The sequence below is a fragment of the Homo sapiens genome, chromosome 15 (assembly GCF_000001405.40).
Source record: "Homo sapiens chromosome 15, GRCh38.p14 Primary Assembly".
NCBI classification, from domain to species: domain Eukaryota; kingdom Metazoa; phylum Chordata; class Mammalia; order Primates; family Hominidae; genus Homo; species Homo sapiens.
The window spans coordinates 96,350,130-96,370,115 of NC_000015.10; the positions used below are offsets into that span (position 1 = coordinate 96,350,130).

Below are 19,986 nucleotides of genomic sequence, written 5' to 3' on the forward strand. Positions count from 1 at the left end.
CCATTTGAAATTCAACCTTTAGCCAGCCTGCTCATGGGGTATGGTTACAGAATTCATTTTCTGATTTACTACCCCTCCTCCTGTATTTTCTTTATTTCCTGATGGCCTCCCATGGGGTTAATCTTTTTTCCCTTTCTTTTATATTTTCCAGTTTTGTTCTCCCCACAAACGACTCAGTGTTTTTCCTGTTTCTACTGATCACTCATTTGCTTCCTTTCTCTCTTTCCTTCTTTAAGAGCCAGAGAAAAATAAAAAGAATGAGAAGGGGATTTCCAAATCGTTCTTTTCTAAGCATTATTAATTACTGTTACAAGGCAAAAGATTTTTAACCAATAACAAAGTTGTAAATTACCACTGACTTTCAAGTATTTCTCATTTGTCAGCTCTGATTGATTTGATTAATATTCCACTCTGAAATAATTTCAGCCGGACTTATCATCAGTTCTACTCATGAAGCAAAGAGCAGACTATCACTGCTGCAGGGGATCTGACCACTCTGCTTTTACTCTTAATGTGAAGTTTGGGGTTTTGTCCTGAGGCCCGAGGTTCTGGGAAGGTGTACAGGCAGTTAAGTTTCGGGGATGAAGTGGACTGGCATATCTCCATATATTCAGTTATTTATATGTAATTTTGAAAACTTTGTTCAGGAACCTATTTGTATTGAAAGAACAAAACGGCATCATTTCCTTGCTCTCCTGAACATTTTTTTTTAAACTGAATATTCAAGGCTGAAGGAATGAATTTTTAAACAGTTCCTAAATCCAAGAAACTCATTCGAACCCTATTAATTCTTATCCTACTGGATAGCATTTCTGAGAAAGAGTGGGCCTACTCTCTGCTCAGACCTATGGGAGATTTGGGTTACTGGTGGGGAAAAAAGTGTGTGCAGGGACAGGAGGGTGGGAGGGGCTCAGCACAAGACAGGGGCAGCCAGAAGACTCCACTTTTGGGGAGTGGGGTTATAGTTTCCCAAGGTCCTTTTCCGTGCCATCGTCATATCCAGAATGTAATTTTTGAAGCTATCAATACCCGCTGCCTCCAATACCTCTCGAGTTTTAATCTTAATTATATTATTAAGTGAAGTACTCTGCTGTCAGGGCGTTGAACATGATTTATGACGTCTGCCTATTAGGGGATCGATTGTGAATATCGCCACTATCATCTATCAATATTCTCAAGCCGGGGGTATTTCTCGCTCCACGGTAGTTATTTGTAATACCGAAATGATAGACTGCAGGAAAAGACTACTTCAGAGGACTCGCTTTTCAGGAGCAGCAGAGAGTGTGGTGAACCAGGAGACTCGGAGAGTTCCAACCACATCTGACACCCAGAGAGAGTTTAAAGTTTTTTTGTTTCTGTTTTTTAATGTAAAAACCAGTGAATTCTCCCGTGGGGCTAGTAGAAGAAAGCAAGCCAGAGTCGTTTTTAGGGAAAGGAGTAACCTCTGCAGGTCGATATCAGGGGGCGAGGGTTTCTAGCTGCCAGGTGATTTGCAATCAGACTAGAAGGAAAAAACTGGCAACCAGGGGCCCCTTTATAGGAAGATGGCTGGATGAGGGCTGCAGAGGGGTGCTGGGGGTAGACTGCGTATTTCTGCAGCAGATGCCCGGTCGCTATGCCCGTGGATTCGGAGGTGTTCAGTTTCTGGGATCAATTAAGACTCGCTGGCTGAGCCCTCGCTGCATCGCCGCTTTCACCTGCTCCTGCTTCCTCTGCATAGGTGGAAGCCCGTGCCAAAGACCTAGTGGCCAGGCCCGAGGGAGCCTGAACGCAGAGGCCTTTTGTCTCCAGACAGAGAGCAGCGCCTGCTTTTTTCCACTCTCACGGGGCACGGCACTGGGTCACCAGCGAGTCTCAGCCTCCAGCGTTAGGGGGATGGGAGGAAGAGTCAGAGAATGGAGCAAAACTCTCCCGTTCTGGCGGCCTGGAGCTGGAGGCTAGAACACCCCGGGGGGGTGGGGCGTGGAGGGCGGCCTGAGTGCCGCGCCTGGCCCCTGCCCTGGGTGCGCACCAGGCCGCGAAAGCCGGGGGCCGCCTTCTCGGCTGCTGAAGCCCGGGAGTCAGTCAAGCGCCCTCTGGCACCGCGAGGGAGGCGCACCTCGCCTGGTGCAGAGTTGCCGCGACCCGAGCGGGAGGAGGCACAGGACGCAGGGCTCCTGGCCTGGCTGTGGGCTTGGCCTTGGCGCACTAAGCGCTCCCCATCTGCCCGAGCCTGGCCTCCGCGGCCCTCTCGGCCCAGTCTACGTTCGTTTAAGGACTTCAGCGCGAAGAAGAGCGAACGTGGCTAGAACCTGTTGACCTCTCCTCTGGCCTGGAAGTCCGCACAGCTCGTGGCAACACTGGACGGACTGGTTGTCAGGGGACGACCGCGGGCAGGTGGGGAGGAGGCCTTGGTCTGGCTCCTGGATTCCACCCTGGGACGGAAGGGGAAGCGGAAACCTTGACCTCAGCCACACAAGGACACCTATCTGGCTGTCTGCCTGCCCTGGCCCAGCCACCCGGTTCAGAGGCCTACCCTTGGCCACAGTGGTTTGTCCTCAGGCTTGGAGTCCCCAGAGATGTGGACACAGTGACTGGCACATAGTAAGCGCTTAATAAGTGTTAGATTGGCGGTGTCAATCATTTTTAGGCACATCCGGTTTCCTCCGTGAGCATCTCCCCTCTCACACACATTTATTCCAGGCCAACAACATGCCTAGCTAGGTCCTTAAGCACCGCCACTCATACCCAGAGGCCCATCAGCTGCCTCGCTCCCTCTGAGCCCTGGAGCTGCAGCCCTCCACCCTTGACATGCGGGAGAAAGCCAGAGGCCCCTAGAGTCCCCCCCTCGGGGTGTTTTCCAGGCCTGGGACACCTGAGCAGGAGACACAGAGGCCTGAAGAAGGGTTAGCAGGTCCCTAATATGCCCCATCCATGTCAGCACTAGAGGAGGGGAATTCTGGTTAAATAAGAATATTCTGGACAGGGAGATGGTGGTTGGTCAGTTAAAAAAGAGAGAATCATTCAGTAAGGGATGCATGTGTGGGAAGAGTGGGGGGCACCTAGGGGCAGGCTGACGCAGAAGAAGCAATAGAGGCTGAGTCAGAGCACCACAATGACACCTTTTTCTTCCAGAAAGAATTCTTTAGTTAAGCCTTTAATCGGCCTTCGGTGAGCAGTGAGTTGTGGGAGGTAGTGCCATTAACTATACATACAATGTTCATGTAACCAGATTTTAATCATTTATGATCTTAATAAATAAATATGCTGCCTTCTGATTCTTTTTACTATCAATGATATTAATACTGTTGTTGTTGTTTAAACGAGATTTTAGTCCCGGTTCGTCCCCAGAGCGGCTGCAGGAGTAGTGCCCAGGACTATTGTGACCTGCTGTGCCGTAGCTCAGACTTCAGCCTGCTCGTCTCCTCTTCCCTCTTCCCCAGATCCCCCAGGCTGATGGATATTCTTCGACCGGGGCCCTTTTTAAAATGACCAATGTGTTATCAATATAGGCTACCCATCCTTATCATATAGGCTACCCATCCTCTCTTCGTTTCTAACCATTTTGCAGTGCGAAGAGAGAGACCCAGGCGCAGGCCAGGCGGCGCGTGTCGCTCGGTCTGAATTGCACCGTAATCGCCAAAACCTTGGCCTAATTTGCAGCTAATAGATCTCGAGCGAGGGAGTCGGGAAGAAACCAGTGGCTTTGGAGGGATCGGAAATTAAGGGACTAGAAGAAGGATGTGATTCCTATTATTCTCCCCCTCCCCCTCCTGCACACGACCATGTGTCTCCTGGCTGGGCCTTTGGGGACGCGGCCCCTGGCCCTCCGTGGCCTGTGTTCCTGTTGTTCGCTTCTCTCCCAGCGGACCACTGTGTCTGGGGCGCCGCGCCCTCCGGTGCGCTCAGACCTCGCGCCCTCCGACCGGCTTCTCCCAGTCCCCGGGAGGAGGCGCTGTGCCCGGGCTGGCCTCTGGTCCCTCCCAGCCGATGTCCTGGAGCCCCCATTCACAAAACCCCTCCTGGAAGAGGACACACACCCACCCACCCACACACACACACACACACCCCACACACGCACTACGAGAAGGGGAGTTTGATCTTGTCTCATTGGCGTCTCGGGTCTGAAAGGAAAATCGTTTGGGTAAACAGCCAAGCTTCCAGGCTTAACGCCCGGCTCCCGCCCCCGCCCCTCCATCCCCTCCTGCCTCCCCCACTCGCCTTCAACCCCACCCGCCACCCACACTCGGCTCCGCAGCCGGGCCCCGAGCGAGCTCCGCGAGTCCTGGCGAGAGCCGAGGGCTCCCCGGGTTCAAAGGGCCGCAGCCCCGAGGGAACGCCCTCCTTGCTGTGCCCCGGGGGGCAGAAGCGGACTGCTGGGCGGTGGGACCGGCCTGGGCCACGGTAGGAACCGCGAAACCTCCGGCTTCCCTAAATAGAGCTGGTCTCGGGGGAGGGCGCCGGGGAGTTCGGAGCCCGGAGGGACATTTTTGCCAAGACCGAGCGGAAGCCGAGCCCGTGCGGCTGGCTGCGCCTAGGAGTTCCGCCACGGGTCCGACGGGGCACCCTGGGTCCCCGCAGCCCGTCACAGGCGTTTGCACATTTGTGTGCACGACCACTGGCGGGGGCGTTGAGCCTCTGCTAGCCGCCTCGGGCTCCGCACACCCTTGGGTGATTACCCGGCCCCCACCTCCCTCCAAGCGACCTCGGCTCCAGGAAAAGGCTTTAATCTGCTATTAAGCGTTTTCCAAAGTTTCTTTCCAAAGGAGAGTTCTTCACTTAACTGGCTGTAAACATAATTAATAGTTATTAACATGCAAAAAAACCTTTGTGGTGTTTAAAAGGATAATGGTCTCTCTCTAGCTCACACTCTTAAGCATGGAGAGAACCTTGAAATCTGAAAATATCCTGATTAGATTATTAGAGGTGATTATACAGTGATTTTCCTCGTTCTCTAATGACATTCTTCTCTCTCCTCCCTTCCTCTGTCTCTTGTTCTCTCTTTTTCTTTTTCTCCCAGTCTCAATCTCACTCTAATCCAGGAGTCATTAGCAACACCCTCTGGCTACATGTTTTGCATCAGTGAAACATTGTGACATAGTTGTAATACAAACTCAGCCGCCTTGCACTGCATCTTGCGGTAGGAAGTGTAATAGCAACAAAAATCATTTTTCATCTCCAGGCATTATTGGGCGAAAAAAACCCCAGAAAACCTGAATGTGAGAAGAGGAAGGGGTGGAGAAGAGAGAAATGAAGGGAGAGAAGAAGGGGGTGGAGGGGGGGAAGAGAGAGAGAGACAGAAAGAGAGAGACACACAAAACCTTTTCCAGTTTAGAACTCCTTTTCCAAACTGTAGGCGTGCAGGTTCACACCTATCATTTCCTATGCCTTCCTCTCCTCGGTTTTTGTCCTAGTTCCTCACTGCTGGCCCTCAGTGGGCCCCAGGACCCTCTTGGGAATTCCCTCTGAGCTCCCATTATCTCTCATCAGCTGCCTTCTCCCCATGTTAGCACCAACTCTCACCCCCACCCCCATGCCTAGGCCTCAAGACCCCCAGGGCCCGGGCCACCCCTCCTTAGCTGGCAGTTACTAGGGATGCTCACTGAAGTCCTGCTAGGAAATTGGGGCCTTTCTCCTGTGTGGTCTCACAGGAATCTTTCCTAGCCTGATGGAGAAGAGACAAACCAGCCAGAAAGCCAACCTGGCTATTTTCCTGGCGCAGCCGTGTAATTTCTGAGCAAGATCTGAGAGCTCCTAATCAGCAAGGAGGAGCCCTGGTTACAGGGAGAAGGGGCACTCACGCTATCCCCTGCCTGCCCTTTGGGGGCTCACCCCGCTAACTCAGGGGACTGCGGAGTTTCAAGAAGCGATCTCTATGTTGGGATTGCTCAGGCAGGGAAATACAGGGGCTTATACAACACCAGATAAACTCTATCTCCACCCTATAGTCCCCAGTTCAGCTCCCATTATTTGTAGGATCCACAGAGCTCCTTTTAAAAAAAAGGATTTGAACTTTGTAATAAAAACTACATTAAATAAAGGTTCTGTACCTCCCTTCAAAACAAAGAAACCACACAAATCCTCACTGGACCATGACAGAGATGCTGTATTTTTAAAACCATGTTTGGCATGTAACATTTGTTTTAACTTATAACACCCATCTCTGGGATGGTGCACTTTGAAGACACATTGAAGCAAAGGCTCACCATATAAGTGGGTTAAATTTTCTGTATATTTTATGGTCGTGTGGATATAAGATTGCGGCAAACCTGTTAAGTTATCAACTGGATAAAATAGTGTCAAATGCCCAGTTGCACCTTGGAAAGAGAGGCTGTGTAATTTGCAATTCTTGCCAGTTGCTACTTTCACCGGCGGACAGGTGTACGTGTTGGGGGCTATATTTTGTGGTTATTTAGTCAGCAAAGCCAAAAGCTGTGGGTACAGTGTCCCAGTAGGCTGGAGACTGGCACTGCAGAACCCCTCTAATGCTGGACTGACCAGAATAAATGAATTTTGGTGGAAATCATAATTGGGAAGGGATGACTTTATAGGCACCACCTCATGGGAGACATCTGCACTGGCCGCAGCTGAATGGCCGGAAATACACGGGGCCCGAACTAGTGGCTTCCTAAAGACCACGTCTCATTTATCTTCTCCTTTCTAGGAAAGCAGCTCCCCAGCTTGAGTGACTACTTTAGACTTGGTGAAATTGTGCCTATATATTTTTCTCCTTCTTCTGTTATTTTCCCTTCATCCCAATGCAGCCACTGTGGGATCTGTCGGTCACAGATAATGGTTTTTAACCCGTCAGAAGACCTGTGCGTTGCGGCTTCTCTGAGGGTTTCGATTACGGAAAAAGTCCGGGTGACGTACAATTAGGCTGCCGCAGGCTGGGAGGCTTGGCGGCGTCATTCCAGTTTCTGCAGCGAGGTGGCGCTCCAAGGTACGGCAGCGCGCCCGGGTTTTCGCCACCGAGCGCATCCGCCGCCGCGTCCACGCAGCGAGGCAGCGGCCACCGAGCAATGTTAACTCGGGGTTCCTAAAGCCTCTGAGCGGAAAATCGGGAGCGCTCAGACCCACCTAGGCGGAGCGGTCCGCAGGGTGGGCGAAGGCCTGAGGCCACGACTGGGGAAGGCTGGCGGCGGCGGGGAGCGCTGTGATGGCGAGTTCCGGAGCACACTCCGCGCGCCGCCGCTCGGGGGAAATCTTCGAAATTCCCGGGCGGGGCGGAGGCTGGGGCTGCAGGTCCCCAGGCACGGCGAGCGGCGCGCTGGAGTCAGCCTCGGCCCAGGCACACCGAGCAAGCGCCCAATCCACCACAAGCTCAGAGACGCAGCTTAGGGTTTTTTGTTGTTCTTGTTGTTCTTTTTCAAAGAAAAAAATAAGGAAAATATGTGTTCTATCGTTGTCCCCCAAACTAAAAAAGAAAAGATATATAGTTTTTGGGTTTTCCTTTGCTTTCTTCTTTTCTCTCATTTCCTTTTTCTTCCCTTCCTTTTCCTTTTATTTTCTGTAGTTTTTTTTTCTTACCTCTCCTTTCGCTTTTTTTTTTCTGTATTTTTCCTCCTATTTCTTAGAACTGGTTGTGTGTGTGTGTGTGTGTGTGTGTGTGTGTGTGAGAGAGAGAGAGAGAGAGAGAGCTTGAAAGAGAGAGGGAGAGAGAGAGAGAAAGTGAAAGTATTACCACCGGCTGGTAATACTAGAAGGCTTGGGCAAATGGTAGCAAAATTGGAGAAACTATTTCAATTTATTGAACGGACTTCAGTGCGTACGATTTCGTTTCCATGCTTCTGCTCTTTCTGGGTGTCTCACAAGCTCTGAGTCGAAGATGACTGGGAGAAAATGGCTCTCACTCTGCCACTCCTCATCTGCGGTCGTAGGGGCCCTTTAAAATCATTTTTGAAACAGTGATAGAATAATAGTAATAGTCCCAATGAACAGCGTTTCCTTCTGGCATGAATTTTCTCGTGGTTTTGCAGCCTGGTCGGCGGGACCCGAGGAACGCGGGCGGGCGGCGCGGCTGCTAGGCTGGGGCCCTCCTGTCAGCAGCTGGTTCCATGTGAATCCCCTGACCCGTGAGCTGTCCCCCTCTCTGTGGCCCTGGGTCTCGGGCCTGGGCCCTCGCAGCTGCTGGGATGCTTTGCTGCGACAACACCCTGCCTTCCACATGCAGCCGCTGCACTTCTCCCTTGAGTCGCATTTCCGGCCACCTCACCTTCCTTGAAGTTTTCTAGTATATAAGGAGGAATTTTCGGCCCAATTTAGAAGTCTGCAGAAACTCAGAGGGTCAGGTCATTAGGAATGTTAACGCGGCGACCAAGAATTATAAACATGATCTGAAAGTCTCTTCCAATTCATTTCTTCAAGTATTTATTTGAGCTAAGTGATGAAAAGTGACAGTTGTGAAATAGACAGCTTTTAAAAGTAATGAAGTCAGATGAGGCTTTAACCTGTCGATTGCTATAAATCAACTTTGAAAAAGAGGAATGAAGAATGTTATTTGAGCACCTAACCGCCAGCATTTGCTTTGCCGGCTGTCGACCCTGGAGTTGGTCTGCGAGCACCTCCCAGGAGGCAGGACCCAGTGAAGCCCTGCGCCTGCAGTGTGACCCTCAGGTGACATGAAGGATTGGGGGCCGCACTGCCAAAAGGCGACATTTTCGTGTGTGGGGGAAGGAGGGCTCCATTTCCACTCAGACTTTTGTCATGGGTTTGGGCTATGCAACGTATCTGGGCAGGTGACCCCAACCCTTAGCACAGTTAGGAATTCAGAGAGGCTGCCACCCATGGGGCTGAACCCCGAAATATAGATCGGCGCCCAGCCCAGCTCCCCAGCTGGTTGAGGGCGTCTACTTCCTTCTTCCATCCGGTTGGGGAAAGCCCAGGGCCTGCATGACGCCCTGACTCTACTAAACCTTTAGAAATGGTGGCAGCAGGGTGAGGAAGATGAGGAGACTAAATTTCTCCAGGGGTGGGTGGGTTGAGCTGGGGCTGAGTTATCTATAACATTAAATGACTCTCTTCTGTGAGGGAAACCCAGGAAGGAGGGGTCCTGCGGTCCTAGGGGCCTGGGGGCTGAAGGCAGGATAGAGCAGGTGTCTGAAGTTCTTGTGGGGAGGGGAGAAGGGTCCCATCCCGGCATGCCCCCGTCAGGGCATCCAGAATGCCTTCTGAGAAAAATGAACTGGTTGGGTGTTTTAAAGTAAACCTTCCACATTCTTTTGGAGATCTCAGTTCCCTACGATTGCAATTTCAGTCTTAGCCGGGCTTAGGGACGCCATCCTTTTCACAGTGACTTCACCGCACTCTGTCCCTGCCTGCACTCCAAGCCTAAGCCGGGGAAGAGTTCCCCGGGCCTCTGGCCCTCTGCGTCTGCTAGTCTCTTTCCCCCAAGACTCCCCGAGGTGGGGAGAGCACTGGTGCTCCCTGGAGAAATCAAGGTGTCCAACATTCTCTCCGAGGCGAGGCTGCTTGAGCGCCAGCAACAGGTCCTGCTGAACTTTCTTCCCCGGCTCCTTCGCTCCGGTTGCTCTCCATCCTCATTTCTGGGGTCAAATGGCAAAGAGGGAATACTCCTCGACCCCTCTCCCCCTTGACTATCCAAAGCAGCCCGAAGTTGGCGAGGAGACTGTGCCGGGTGTTCGGGCAAATGCCCCGCCGGGTGGCTCCAGAAATGGCCTGTGACCTGCACTCGCCTCGGAGAAATTCCAACTCTTGGTTGAGGACTCTGACTCAGAGGAGCCCTCTGAGGATGCGCCCCTGGAGAAAGTGCACGGGAGGGAAAGTGGAGAGAACCTCGCCCTCCCCAGGCGCTAGCCAGCTACTCCCGGGCCAGCAGGGCCGGTGGCTTCATTGGGCCCCACCCTGGCCTAGTGACTCTCTGCGGCCTTGGAGGGGTGCGGAGAGGTGAAGCCGATCTCAGGCAGCACCCCTCCCCTTGCAGGTCTAATTTCCCCTCTCTGGGGACCTGGATGCGGGAAGCTAGGCGCCCAGCTCGGGCATAGGAGGCTCGAGCTCTATCGGCGTCCAGCCCGCCCTCAGAGTTAGCTGGAGCTGGAACCTGGCGGCCTCGGGTGTCCGCAGCAGGCTGTGTGGCCACCGGCCTCTGTCCTCTCCACTAGCGCCAGGGCTTCCCGCACCCCAGGCTGGGGCAGCGAGGGCGTGGGGGTCTCCTAGACCGGCCCGGGTGACGGCGGTAGGGGACCAGCAACTTCCATTTTCCGACCCCGAGAAGGGAAACTCAACGGAGGGGGCCGGTCGAGACTCCTCCTCCACTCCGCCCCGAGGCAGCCTGGCTAGGCTAGCGGCGGGTCTCCGCCCGCCCGAACGTTTCCATAAATCAGGCCGCTGGCAGGCTGCTAATTAGCTCGACCGAAAAGAATAGAAAGAGGGAGAGGTTGGTGGCGCACTGTGGGGTGGGGGTGGGGGTGGGGACTCAGTAGGTGGGAGATCAGAATTTCTCTAGGGCCATTGGGGGACTCCCTGGGGTACCTCAGCAACACCCCCGCCCCGCACCCCCGGCCCAGGCCACCGCAGACCACCTCCCCCCAGCCTGGGCCTCCAAGCAGGGGCTTCGGGCTCACAAGCCTCCCGCACTGCGCTCCCCAGCGTTCCACCTGGCCCGCCCACCCACGCCGAGTCCCCTCTGCCACTCGCTGAGCAAGCCCAGCGTTAATTAACTCCCCTCCCTGCCCCCTGCAATATCGGAAGACTTTCAAAACTCATCTCCAAGTGTTTCCTCTTTAAGCCTAAAGCTTGGAACAACCGCCAGGGAAAGAGGGGAGCGGGGTCTAGAAGAGTCGGTCACTTAGAGCTTTGGGGCCACAAGACTTCCCCAACGATTGTGTGGGTTGTGGGATGAGATGCAGCAACCCTATTTCTCCATCCCCAGTGAAAAGGCAAGACGATCAATCAAGATTAGAAATAACATTAAAGTTGGATTATTGATTTCCCTGTAAATTGCGAACCGAGGATGTGGCGAGTGAGAGCGACTTCTGTTTATTTTCTCTTTTCCTCCCCCATCCTTCTCCTAGCTCCGCGCCCCTCCCAGCCTTCCCGCCCTTAGCCGGGAAAGGACGCTGAGATGACATCACCACAGAGACCCGCGGCCTCCCCGCCCCCGGCCCCGGGACCCCGGAGCGGAGATTGACAGGTGTCGCTCGTTAGGACAATGCCTTCCAGGTGCCACTGTCACAGCCCCATCCTTCCTAACCCGCCCTCTTTGCCCCCTTCCCTTCCAACTCTCATACCTCCCCCCTTTCTCCTCTGGGGGAGGTTCTCACATTCGCACTCCCAAACCCCAGCTCCTCGCATCTGGGCACAGGGCCCCAGGTCTAGAGATGCGGGCAGGGGGCCGGCACCCAAGGGCAGGGGTGGCAGAGGCTCCGCCTGCTGCCTGCCGTGGGGCCGCTCCGAGGTGCCAGGAACTCCGGTAAGGGTCCCGGCGGCGGCAGCCCGGGAGTGGGCAAAGAGGGAACATGCGTGTATTTCAAAGAAACCAGCGCGGTCTCTGGACTTCCCTGTCTTCGCTCTCCACCCCCGCTCCCCCTCAACACACACATAATATAACAGACGCGAAGATAATCCTGCCATCTGGCAAATCCCAAATTTGGTGACCAAGCTCGGAAAGCAACAGCGACGGCTCATCCCGGGAGTAGGTGGCTGGTCCTGCCGGACTCTCCGGAGCTGGGGCAAGGGCCGTGGGCTCTGCCCGCACCTGCCCCCACCTCTGCTCCATCCCTGCCCTGACCCGGTAGACTGTGGGGTTTTTCTGTCGCACTGGGCAGCAGTTCTGGGTGTCTGGAATGGGGGAGCTGTTAAGTGTGGGGCTCCGGCCCCACTTTCCACCAATGCTTCCTCAATGAGCTAAAACCCAAATTCGGCTTCATTATGTACCACCGAATGTAATTTATAGCTAGGCGGTCTGTCGGCGGCGATTTAAATCATTTGGTGATAAGGATCACACTTATTAGATTTCTTCAAAGCCGATGGGGGTTTTCTATCTTTTTTTTTTTTTTTTTTTTTGGAGGGCATTTGTGCTAAATTGCCCAGTGCTGGTGTGATAACTGTCAAAAGTTTGACATCAAAGGAGCTAATATTATTCAGTTACCAGAGAAGCTGTCTGTCTAAATAAGAATATCTTAATTACTGCATCACAAAGGTAGAAAAGGGGTCGGATCTGAAAAGGGGAGAGGCATTCAGCCGCTGCTTTTGATGCGCTATCTATATTAGACCGATGCGCCGTTCTTAATCAGGCCTAGTCCGATTTCCTTTCCTCTCTCGGTCGGTCCTCTGAACTTTATAACTATATGTAAACACGTTGTCAGTGGGGACATAATCTTCTCAGGTTCTTATTAGAAGAAATTTCCATCCTCTCCCGTTCTAGATTAGGCGCAGTGGAGTCCGCTCCATCAATGAAGGGACTAAGGTTTCGTGGACAATAATGTGGCAATTGTTGATGGTTTGTGACCCATAAAATGTGGAGGTGACTGTTCTGGCTTTGGTATGTAATTATGCAAAACACTTTCCATAAAGACTTGCCATTCGATCTAATGGCAGTCCCTGCGGTCTATTTCAAAAAGGGAGGGTCTATGTACAGAGAGAGAAAAGTAACATTTGTTTTAACACAGGTTTTATAGGGGGGATGGATAAATACAAACACATCACAACGCCGCCCAAAGTATTTTTTCGAGTCAAATTAAAATAATTATCAGGGGGTTTAATAAGTTAATCATAGCAACACGGCCCATCCAAACACACAGGGAGGGGGGTTCAGGCTTCAGCCGACCACCTCTCGACCTGGGACTGTGCTTGAGAGTGGCGAGTCACCCCTGGGTTCTGCAGAGCTGGAGCTCGTCCCTGTCTCAACCCAGTCCACCTGGGTGCTGGGCTGGGCTCTAAAGCCCCGATCTGGGGCTGAGGTTGGGGGAGGGGTGGGCGGCATCTCGACCCCAAAGGCTTGTCCCTGGAATTATTTGGCATGGGGCATTTTCACAAAGCAGCCCTCTTTCAAGAAGCGTCCCCCATCCCCTTTCCCTCTAGTGCCCTCAAGCTCCCAGGATTTAGGTACCCACAGAAAGGCAGGCGGAAAAACAAGTCCCGAGACAGGAATGAGTCTGACTGTTTCGGGTGGAATGGCTAAACCTGGCGCCCACGCTCAGAGGGCCAGCAGCTGAGCACACTCGAGTCAGCTAAAACTGCCCCCAGCACGTCCTCAAGACGCCTGAGGGTTTTGTTTTTTTTTTCAAAAGTAATACGGGGAATTAAAAAGGCCTGAAGGAGAAGGGTGGAGTGAGATGGGAAAGTCTTCACTGCCTTGGGCCCAGCCCTGGCCTCTGGCTTAAAAAGCAAGTCTTTCTTTGGCAGCCCTCCGGCCCTTACCTTGTCTGGAGACGCGCCCCCCACCCCGCGCTCCCTGAACTGCTGTGCGTCGAGCTGAGTCCTCGCCAACGGCCGCACGGTGACGTTGCCGTGTGAGCCCAGCAGTCGCGGGCAACAGGGGATTTTTCAAGGGGGAAATGACGATTAGAAGAGAGAATCATCTAAATATCAAAGTGACACATGGGGAGACTTGGAAAAAATATTTAAGCTAATGAAAAGCAAATAAAGAAGCAGACACTTAGGCTGGGAAATTAAATATTATGTTTAAAATGGTGCTTTTGTCCGGGCTTGAAGATTTCCGATTCATGTACACATAATAAACACTCAGGTTTGTCATCTGGAGGTGCAAATCTGAAAGATATTCCGACAAATGAAGTGCTGGCAGAGAGAGGAATAAAGAGATCGGTGCCTGTCAGGGGTCAGGCAGCCTGAGATTGCTTCTAGAGATCTTTTGAAAATTTCACACGATTGAAGGCTTAGGGGCTTCACTGCGTTCGCATTTCAAACTCAGATCAGTGGGATCACAATCAAAAATAGAGGTCTGGAAAATTTTGATGCAAAGATGGCCACGCGCATCAGGGCTTCTCTCACTAGCTCTCTCTCTCTCTCTCTCTCTTTTTTTTCTTTCTAAGACAGACACCCTGACATGGCTGTGATCCTTTGGATGACAGAGTTGTCAGTAAAGAAAGAGAAAATTGCATCTTGTCTGATAACTTCCTTTCAGTCAAAAGGAATTTAGGGTCTTATTTTCAATAAAAGAAAAAAAAAGATGGTTCATTTCTAGCAAGCATAGGATGCTCAAAAGAGTCTCGAATTTCATAATTAATGATCTACTCCTAGACATTTAGGTGTGATTCACCTCTTCATTTATCCAGACTAATATGATTTCTCACTCAGTTTATACTCTGGCATTACATTGAAAATTTGTCTCAATTTCTCAACACTATCATTTGTATACACAGTCAGGTGTATGAACGTGATTACATGCATACGCACTTCAACATATATGTGTGCACACACAACTTTGATCCCTAAATCCGGACATTGGCCTGTTTGTCTGATATTCCATGAGAGTTATTGCCCACTGCCCAAGATGTCAGCACTTTCTGGTTTGAACAGGACACAACAAAATCAATTGTCTCTGTGATTGATCTGGTGGTGGTGGGGGTGGGGTGGGGTGGGAAATAAGAGGACCTGGGGACGGGCATTCTATGAGACCAAATCAAACTAAGGAACTCTAGAATGGAACCAGGCTGAGTAGATGCCGAGGAGCTGGTAGACAGGCAGTGGACCAACTGGAGAACACCTTGGGAACAAGATGTGATGGCAATTATGCCAAAACCTGAATCATCTAAAATTATTTGCTATTGGTTTGGCCAACTTTAGGGTGAGCAGAAAAAGGACCAACTTAGCATCAGTTTGCAGGTTGTAATTTTCACCTGACTGTTTCAGAGAAATGAACAAGATACTTTTGGAAATAATCTGAATTACAGTCGAGTTTCATTAACTTTCAAACCAACATGAGCAGATGTTGGATTCCTGAAACCTCTCCTTAACTGCATATATTAGGAGATCTCTGCTGAGGAGGGTCCCTACAGTGGAGAAAGAAGAGACCTGTATAAAAAATATCTCCTGTTTCCTGAATTATAGACTCAAGTTGTTAATAATATATGTTGTTTCACACATGGTCAGAAAGGGAAAAGTGTAATAGTTGCTTTAAGTGGATTTATAAGCTCAAAGCTTTTACTCCTCCCACTTCTGCAAGGCTGGGGCAGCCACCACAAACACCAGGACTTGGAGGCAGAGGCAGAACCCCAAAAACTGCTTGGCGGGCTGAACAGGTCCCAGATGAACAGCTCTGGTATGCCAAGCCAGGGAGGACAACTTGGCCCTGGCACCCTGAGTTTGGTGACTCCAGGATGAGGGCTGGGGAGGTGAAATGGAATGTGAGTGCCTCTGAAGTCCTACATTCAGAAACCTCCCAGACACCCTCATTGCAATTCTGGTGGAGAAATTCCCACCCTGGAGCTTTGGAGGAGAGCAGCCAGTGTCTACAGAGCAGCTACTATCCTCAGATCGGCTTCTCCATTCCCCCTGCCCCCGCCCCCACCCCACTCCGTCCACAGTAAAGGAATAGAGAGCAGGTCCTTAGTGTAACTTTAAAGCACTTGAGCAGAGGCGCAAACGAAGGAGAGTCTTCTCTTCGTAGAAGGGCCACCCACGGGGCACTCAATTTCGCTTTTTCTAAGTCTCCTACAAAGGACGGAGGCCCCTAACCGGGCTTTAAAAGTGGGGTTTTGTGCAGTAAATACGGTGGGGCCCGTCCTGGTGTCCAGGAGAAGCACCAGAAGAGAAAAACGGGCGACAGGATGACCGCAAGGGAGCAGGGAGAGGTAGGAGGGGACCCTCGGCCGAGTAGGGACAGTGCCGCCTCGGAGCCTGAGCCGCGAACTGGCCCCAGCAGGGAGGCCGCGCAGCCTGGCTAGGGTTCGCTGGGATGCACGCCACCGCGGGCGTGCTGCGTGCCCGGGATGTCCCCTGAACTAGGCCGGAGAAGGATTCAGGTCTCCTCTGGTGGATGTGGGAGGTCTTGGGATAACTCTTCGTGAGAATGCAGAGCTGGCAGGAGCCTCCGTAAAAACACTACAAGAAGCGGTCTTGAGGGCCGTCTACTTTGCTCACAAAACAGGGTTTTTCTCCAGCCAGGAAGGGCGGCGAGACCCAGGCAACTTGGACCCGGTTAGGGACCTGTGCGGGATGTGTTTTCTGAAACTTTTACACAGGAACTCCAGGGGGCGGGGGACGAGGGCGGCAACCCCAGATCACAGGCGGCCGGCGACCTCCGGTTATAGTGATGGGTCCCCTTTTCCTGCCATCGCCAGCCCTGGGACCCAAGGACAGGCGAGTAACATTTCTCTCTCCATCCCATTCTCACTTTAACCCGCCCCCCTCCAAAAAAGTCAGGGTCCAGAGGAGAATTGCGAACAGGAGGTCAGAGGCTGAGCAGAGCTTGAGATGAAACGGCGCCTATAGATTTAAAAGCAAACAAAGCCGAAAACAACCCTAACCATTTTGGCTGCGCAAGGGCTAGAGCTCTCCGGTGCGCCTGGGGCAGGGCGGTCGCCGCACAGTCTGCTCCGGGGCCGTCAGGAGCTGTATCAAGGGCTGGGCCCCAGCTCGCTCCTGTCTGGCTGGCCCCGAGTCGGGACACCCCGAGTGCAACCTTCTTATCTGCTCTACCCCTCCTGACCCGACACGCTGGTTGTGGGGGGCGCCACTGGTATCAAGAAACGCGCCAGGCGCAGGTGGGCCGCCAAGGGGGGCTAGAGGCTGGGCAGCCGTGGCCCAGGCCAGGTCCCAAGCGCAGTGCCCTGGGTCCTGCCCCCTCCAGGAGTCAGACACAAACACACTCCGGGTCCTAGTCAAATGTAGAGTTGGGAGAAAGGAACCTGCGGAGGCATCTTCTGGCTGTTCTACCCCCAGCGTGAGAAAACTGAGCATTCCGTGCCTGTAGGGAGAGGTCCACAGCCCTAGGGGACCGTGAGAACGCGGTGGGACACCTGAGTTGCCATTTTGGCCTTTTCTAAAATAATGTTTTAAAAAATATTATGAAACTAAAATCTCCAGGCGAGGCATCGCCTTTCTTCTCGTTTTGATATGACACCCACTAAATAAAATCCTCTTTTAAGCCATCTTCACTCTAACTTCAAAGGAGCGAATGTTAATTTTACCTTTATTTAAATGATTGCAGAGGCTGACTGGTGAGGGATTCTCCCCTTCCTCCAGCTCTCCCTCCGGATTTTAACATATGGAGTACAGTCACGATTTACCGCCACCCTGGAAAGCCAGCCGCCACCTCCCCAACCCCCATCTTGCCTTTTTTCCCCCTTTGGTTGGTATTAATTTCATGGAATGCTATTTAAAGTTTAGCATGAAATGCTCGTGCTATAACACAAGTGGCGAGGTATCGCCAATGAACTAGGAGTGGAAACACATCAGGAGCAGACTTGACCTTTCCTTGGATGCCTGCAGACCACGCCAAGTGGGATTTAGTGGGCACCACTCCCCATAGGAGGCTTCATGGTCTAAGCCCAGATCTAAGCCTGAATGACCACACCCCCAGGAGTCTTTGCCACAGAGGACTGAAGCTGAGTTCCTTGAAGGCAAGGACTTTAGCCACGGAAGGGAACGCGAGGAACTTCGGGCAATCTTTTTGACGCCACGTTCCATTTTTTAGGATCTCTTGCCAATTTCTCAGTGTGTTTCTGTCCAGATAGACTAAGCTCTTTGGAGTTAATTAACCTGTGGTAGAGCCACAATTAATACGGAGAGAAGACGGAAAGGAGAAAATTCAGAAGGAAGGGGGAAAATAACAGTAGTGTTTGTCTAGCCGGATTCTTTTACACCGCTCGGTCACAGTTAGTTACCGACTTTCCAGCTGCGAGGACGATGCGCGCCATTTACTGTAATTGAATTGCTGTAATAACACCTTGCAAGGGGACAGCAATGCGTTTCAAAAAAAAGTTGCGTTCCTGGCCAGCAGTTGCCTAAGCTCCTCCTGGAGTCACTGGTTGCCTGCTAGATAGAGCTGCCCCAAGGGGATGGGGACACAGGGCTGGTTGGGTCCTCGGGTGGGGCTCGAGGAACCTGCTTTCAGGTGAATTCGTTCCGGGCGTTCGGTGTCCCTGGGCTTGCCTAGGGGTACTGGGGACCCTTAGTGGGCCAGAACCCGAAGCTGAACGTGAATAAGGGACAGGGTAGGACCTGAAATTGCAGAGACATAGAAAATCAATACGTGGTCGGGAGTCAACTGCGCGCGACCAAGGGCTCTGCCCTCCCTCTCTCCGTTGATTTGGACGCTGGGAAGCTGCCCGCCGTCCTTCCCCACCCCCTTTGCCCAGCCTTGGCAAGACCTCTCCGGAAACATACTCGCGTTAAGGAACTGGGAAAGCTTCCTGGCCCGGAGCTAGGAGCCCGACGTTGGGGCTCCTTGCTGAGTGAGACGCTCAGTCCTGTGCTCCCCGCCCCGCCCCAGGCGCCCAGTCCCGCTGGGATCCATCTCCTCAGCCCCGGTTTCCCGCTCTGCGAGCGGGGGAAGAACCTGGGAACTGCAGGATCCGCCACCTCGGTTTTTCAGACACAGCCTCTGGCCTCTTTCCTTGGCCTGCCAAACCTTTGTTCACTTCTCTCACCCGTTGTCTGCTCTGCTCTATCCCTCAGCAGGGTTCTCGTTTGGACAAGAGGGCCCAATCCTTTGCTTTGCTACTCCTCGCGTCTTGTAGACCCTTCTTGGTCTCCACAGAGCTCCACAGGCACAGAGAGCAAACCGTAGACTCTGACGCTCCCCAGGACAGCCACGGGCTCCCGAATTTCAGCACTGCTTTGGGTGCGGTCTCCAGGGGCTCAACAGGGTGAAAGAAGTGGCTGGATGGCGGAGGGAAGACGGTCTTCCCACACCGCCGCCCCAAATCGGGTCCCCACGGCTAGCTTAAAAGGGCTGCGAAGGAGGCCGGGTGCGGTGGCTCACGCCTGCAATCCCAGCACTTTGGGAGGCCGAGGCGGGCGCATCACCTGAGGTCAGGAGTTCGAGACCAGCCTGGCCAACATGGTGAAACCCCCATCTCTACTAAAAATACAAAAAAAATTAGCCAGGCGTGGTGGTGGGCGCCTGTAATCGCAGCTTCTCGGGAGGCTGAGGCAGGAGAATCGCTTCAACCTGAGAGGCGGAGGTTGCAGTGAGCCGAGAACACCCCATTGCCCTCCAGCCTGGGAGACAAGAGTGAAGCTCCGTCTCAAAAAAAAAAAAAAAAAAAAAAAAAAAAAACCTTCAAAGGAAATAAAAGAATTAAGAGGTTAGAATGCACCTCACCAGTGCTGGGAGGGTGTCCAGAGTGCTGCTGAGAAGAGCGAGCGCACTGGGCCCGGAGGGTACTCCATGGACTTGGGGATGCTCAGTCTTGCCCACGCAGGTCTGGCGGAGAAGGCAGAGACTTCCACGCCCACGCTGGACCCCCAGCGACCCGCAAGGTGCGTGGTAGAAATAAGTGTGTCTCAAAAGTACTGTCCAGAGGAGTTGAGATTGCAATATAAGGGCAGGCCGGGGATGTGGGGAGGGGAAGGAGAAGGAGAAAACAGTCCTGGAGAGGAGGAAACCGCGTGGGGCCTGGCCCTCAGCGGCAGGGTCGGGAAACCTTACAGCTGTTTGGGATTCACCTATAGTGTGTGTGTGCCCCAGGGCGTCGGCGCCGGTAAGAAGGGTGGAAGATGGTTGGGGAGGGGTTGGCATCCATCACACTCCAATATTACTCCAATTGATCCCTTTTCCTAGGGGATTCTTCAGCTTCCTTTAGGGTTTGCTAGACATAAGGTTGGTTTTGCAACCGAAAAGCCCATTGCTCCTGGAGGCGTCCGGCAACTGAAGCATTGCTCTTGGGTCCTGAGAGCTGGAGGGCATGTTGCAACCCCCGGCGCCCACTCCCAGACACTTACACCTACATCTACTTTTCTGCAAAACAAAGTTCTGTTCCTTTCCTGTGTGCCGGAAGATGGGGTGTGGGAGGATTCCCCGCTGTCTGGTCCTTCCATGGCTTCCTGGGCTTCCTGCAGAGTGGAACAGGTTGGAGGTGG

The 19,986-nt window shown here is 52.7% G+C and overlaps 1 long non-coding RNA gene across 1 annotated transcript in view, besides 3 other annotated features; it reads left to right on the forward strand.

Annotated features, from left to right (window-relative positions):
- Nucleotides 1–1,223: 1,223 nt before the first annotated feature.
- The window catches only part of LOC101927263 (uncharacterized), a 43,664-nt gene continuing 24,901 nt past the window's right edge, over nucleotides 1,224–19,986 (forward strand). Inside the window, exons 1-3 of the long non-coding RNA XR_007064788.1 lie at nucleotides 1,224–1,281; nucleotides 1,379–1,866; nucleotides 3,650–4,383. This is a non-coding gene — a long non-coding RNA (uncharacterized LOC101927263). The remainder of the gene's footprint in view (nucleotides 1,282–1,378; nucleotides 1,867–3,649; nucleotides 4,384–19,986) is intronic.
- Nucleotides 4,123–5,022: an enhancer, noted in NCBI's record as "H3K27ac-H3K4me1 hESC enhancer chr15:96897481-96898380 (GRCh37/hg19 assembly coordinates)". NCBI's record gives its function as "activates a minimal SCP1, AML or CMV promoter by ChIP-STARR-seq in naive H9 embryonic stem cells {active_cell/tissue: H9 hESC(naive)}" and the evidence as "EXISTENCE:reporter gene assay evidence [ECO:0000049][PMID:30033119]".
- Nucleotides 8,345–9,187: an enhancer, noted in NCBI's record as "H3K27ac-H3K4me1 hESC enhancer chr15:96901703-96902545 (GRCh37/hg19 assembly coordinates)". NCBI's record gives its function as "activates a minimal SCP1, AML or CMV promoter by ChIP-STARR-seq in naive H9 embryonic stem cells {active_cell/tissue: H9 hESC(naive)}" and the evidence as "EXISTENCE:reporter gene assay evidence [ECO:0000049][PMID:30033119]".
- Nucleotides 12,225–13,074: an enhancer, noted in NCBI's record as "NANOG-H3K4me1 hESC enhancer chr15:96905583-96906432 (GRCh37/hg19 assembly coordinates)". NCBI's record gives its function as "activates a minimal SCP1, AML or CMV promoter by ChIP-STARR-seq in naive H9 embryonic stem cells {active_cell/tissue: H9 hESC(naive)}" and the evidence as "EXISTENCE:reporter gene assay evidence [ECO:0000049][PMID:30033119]".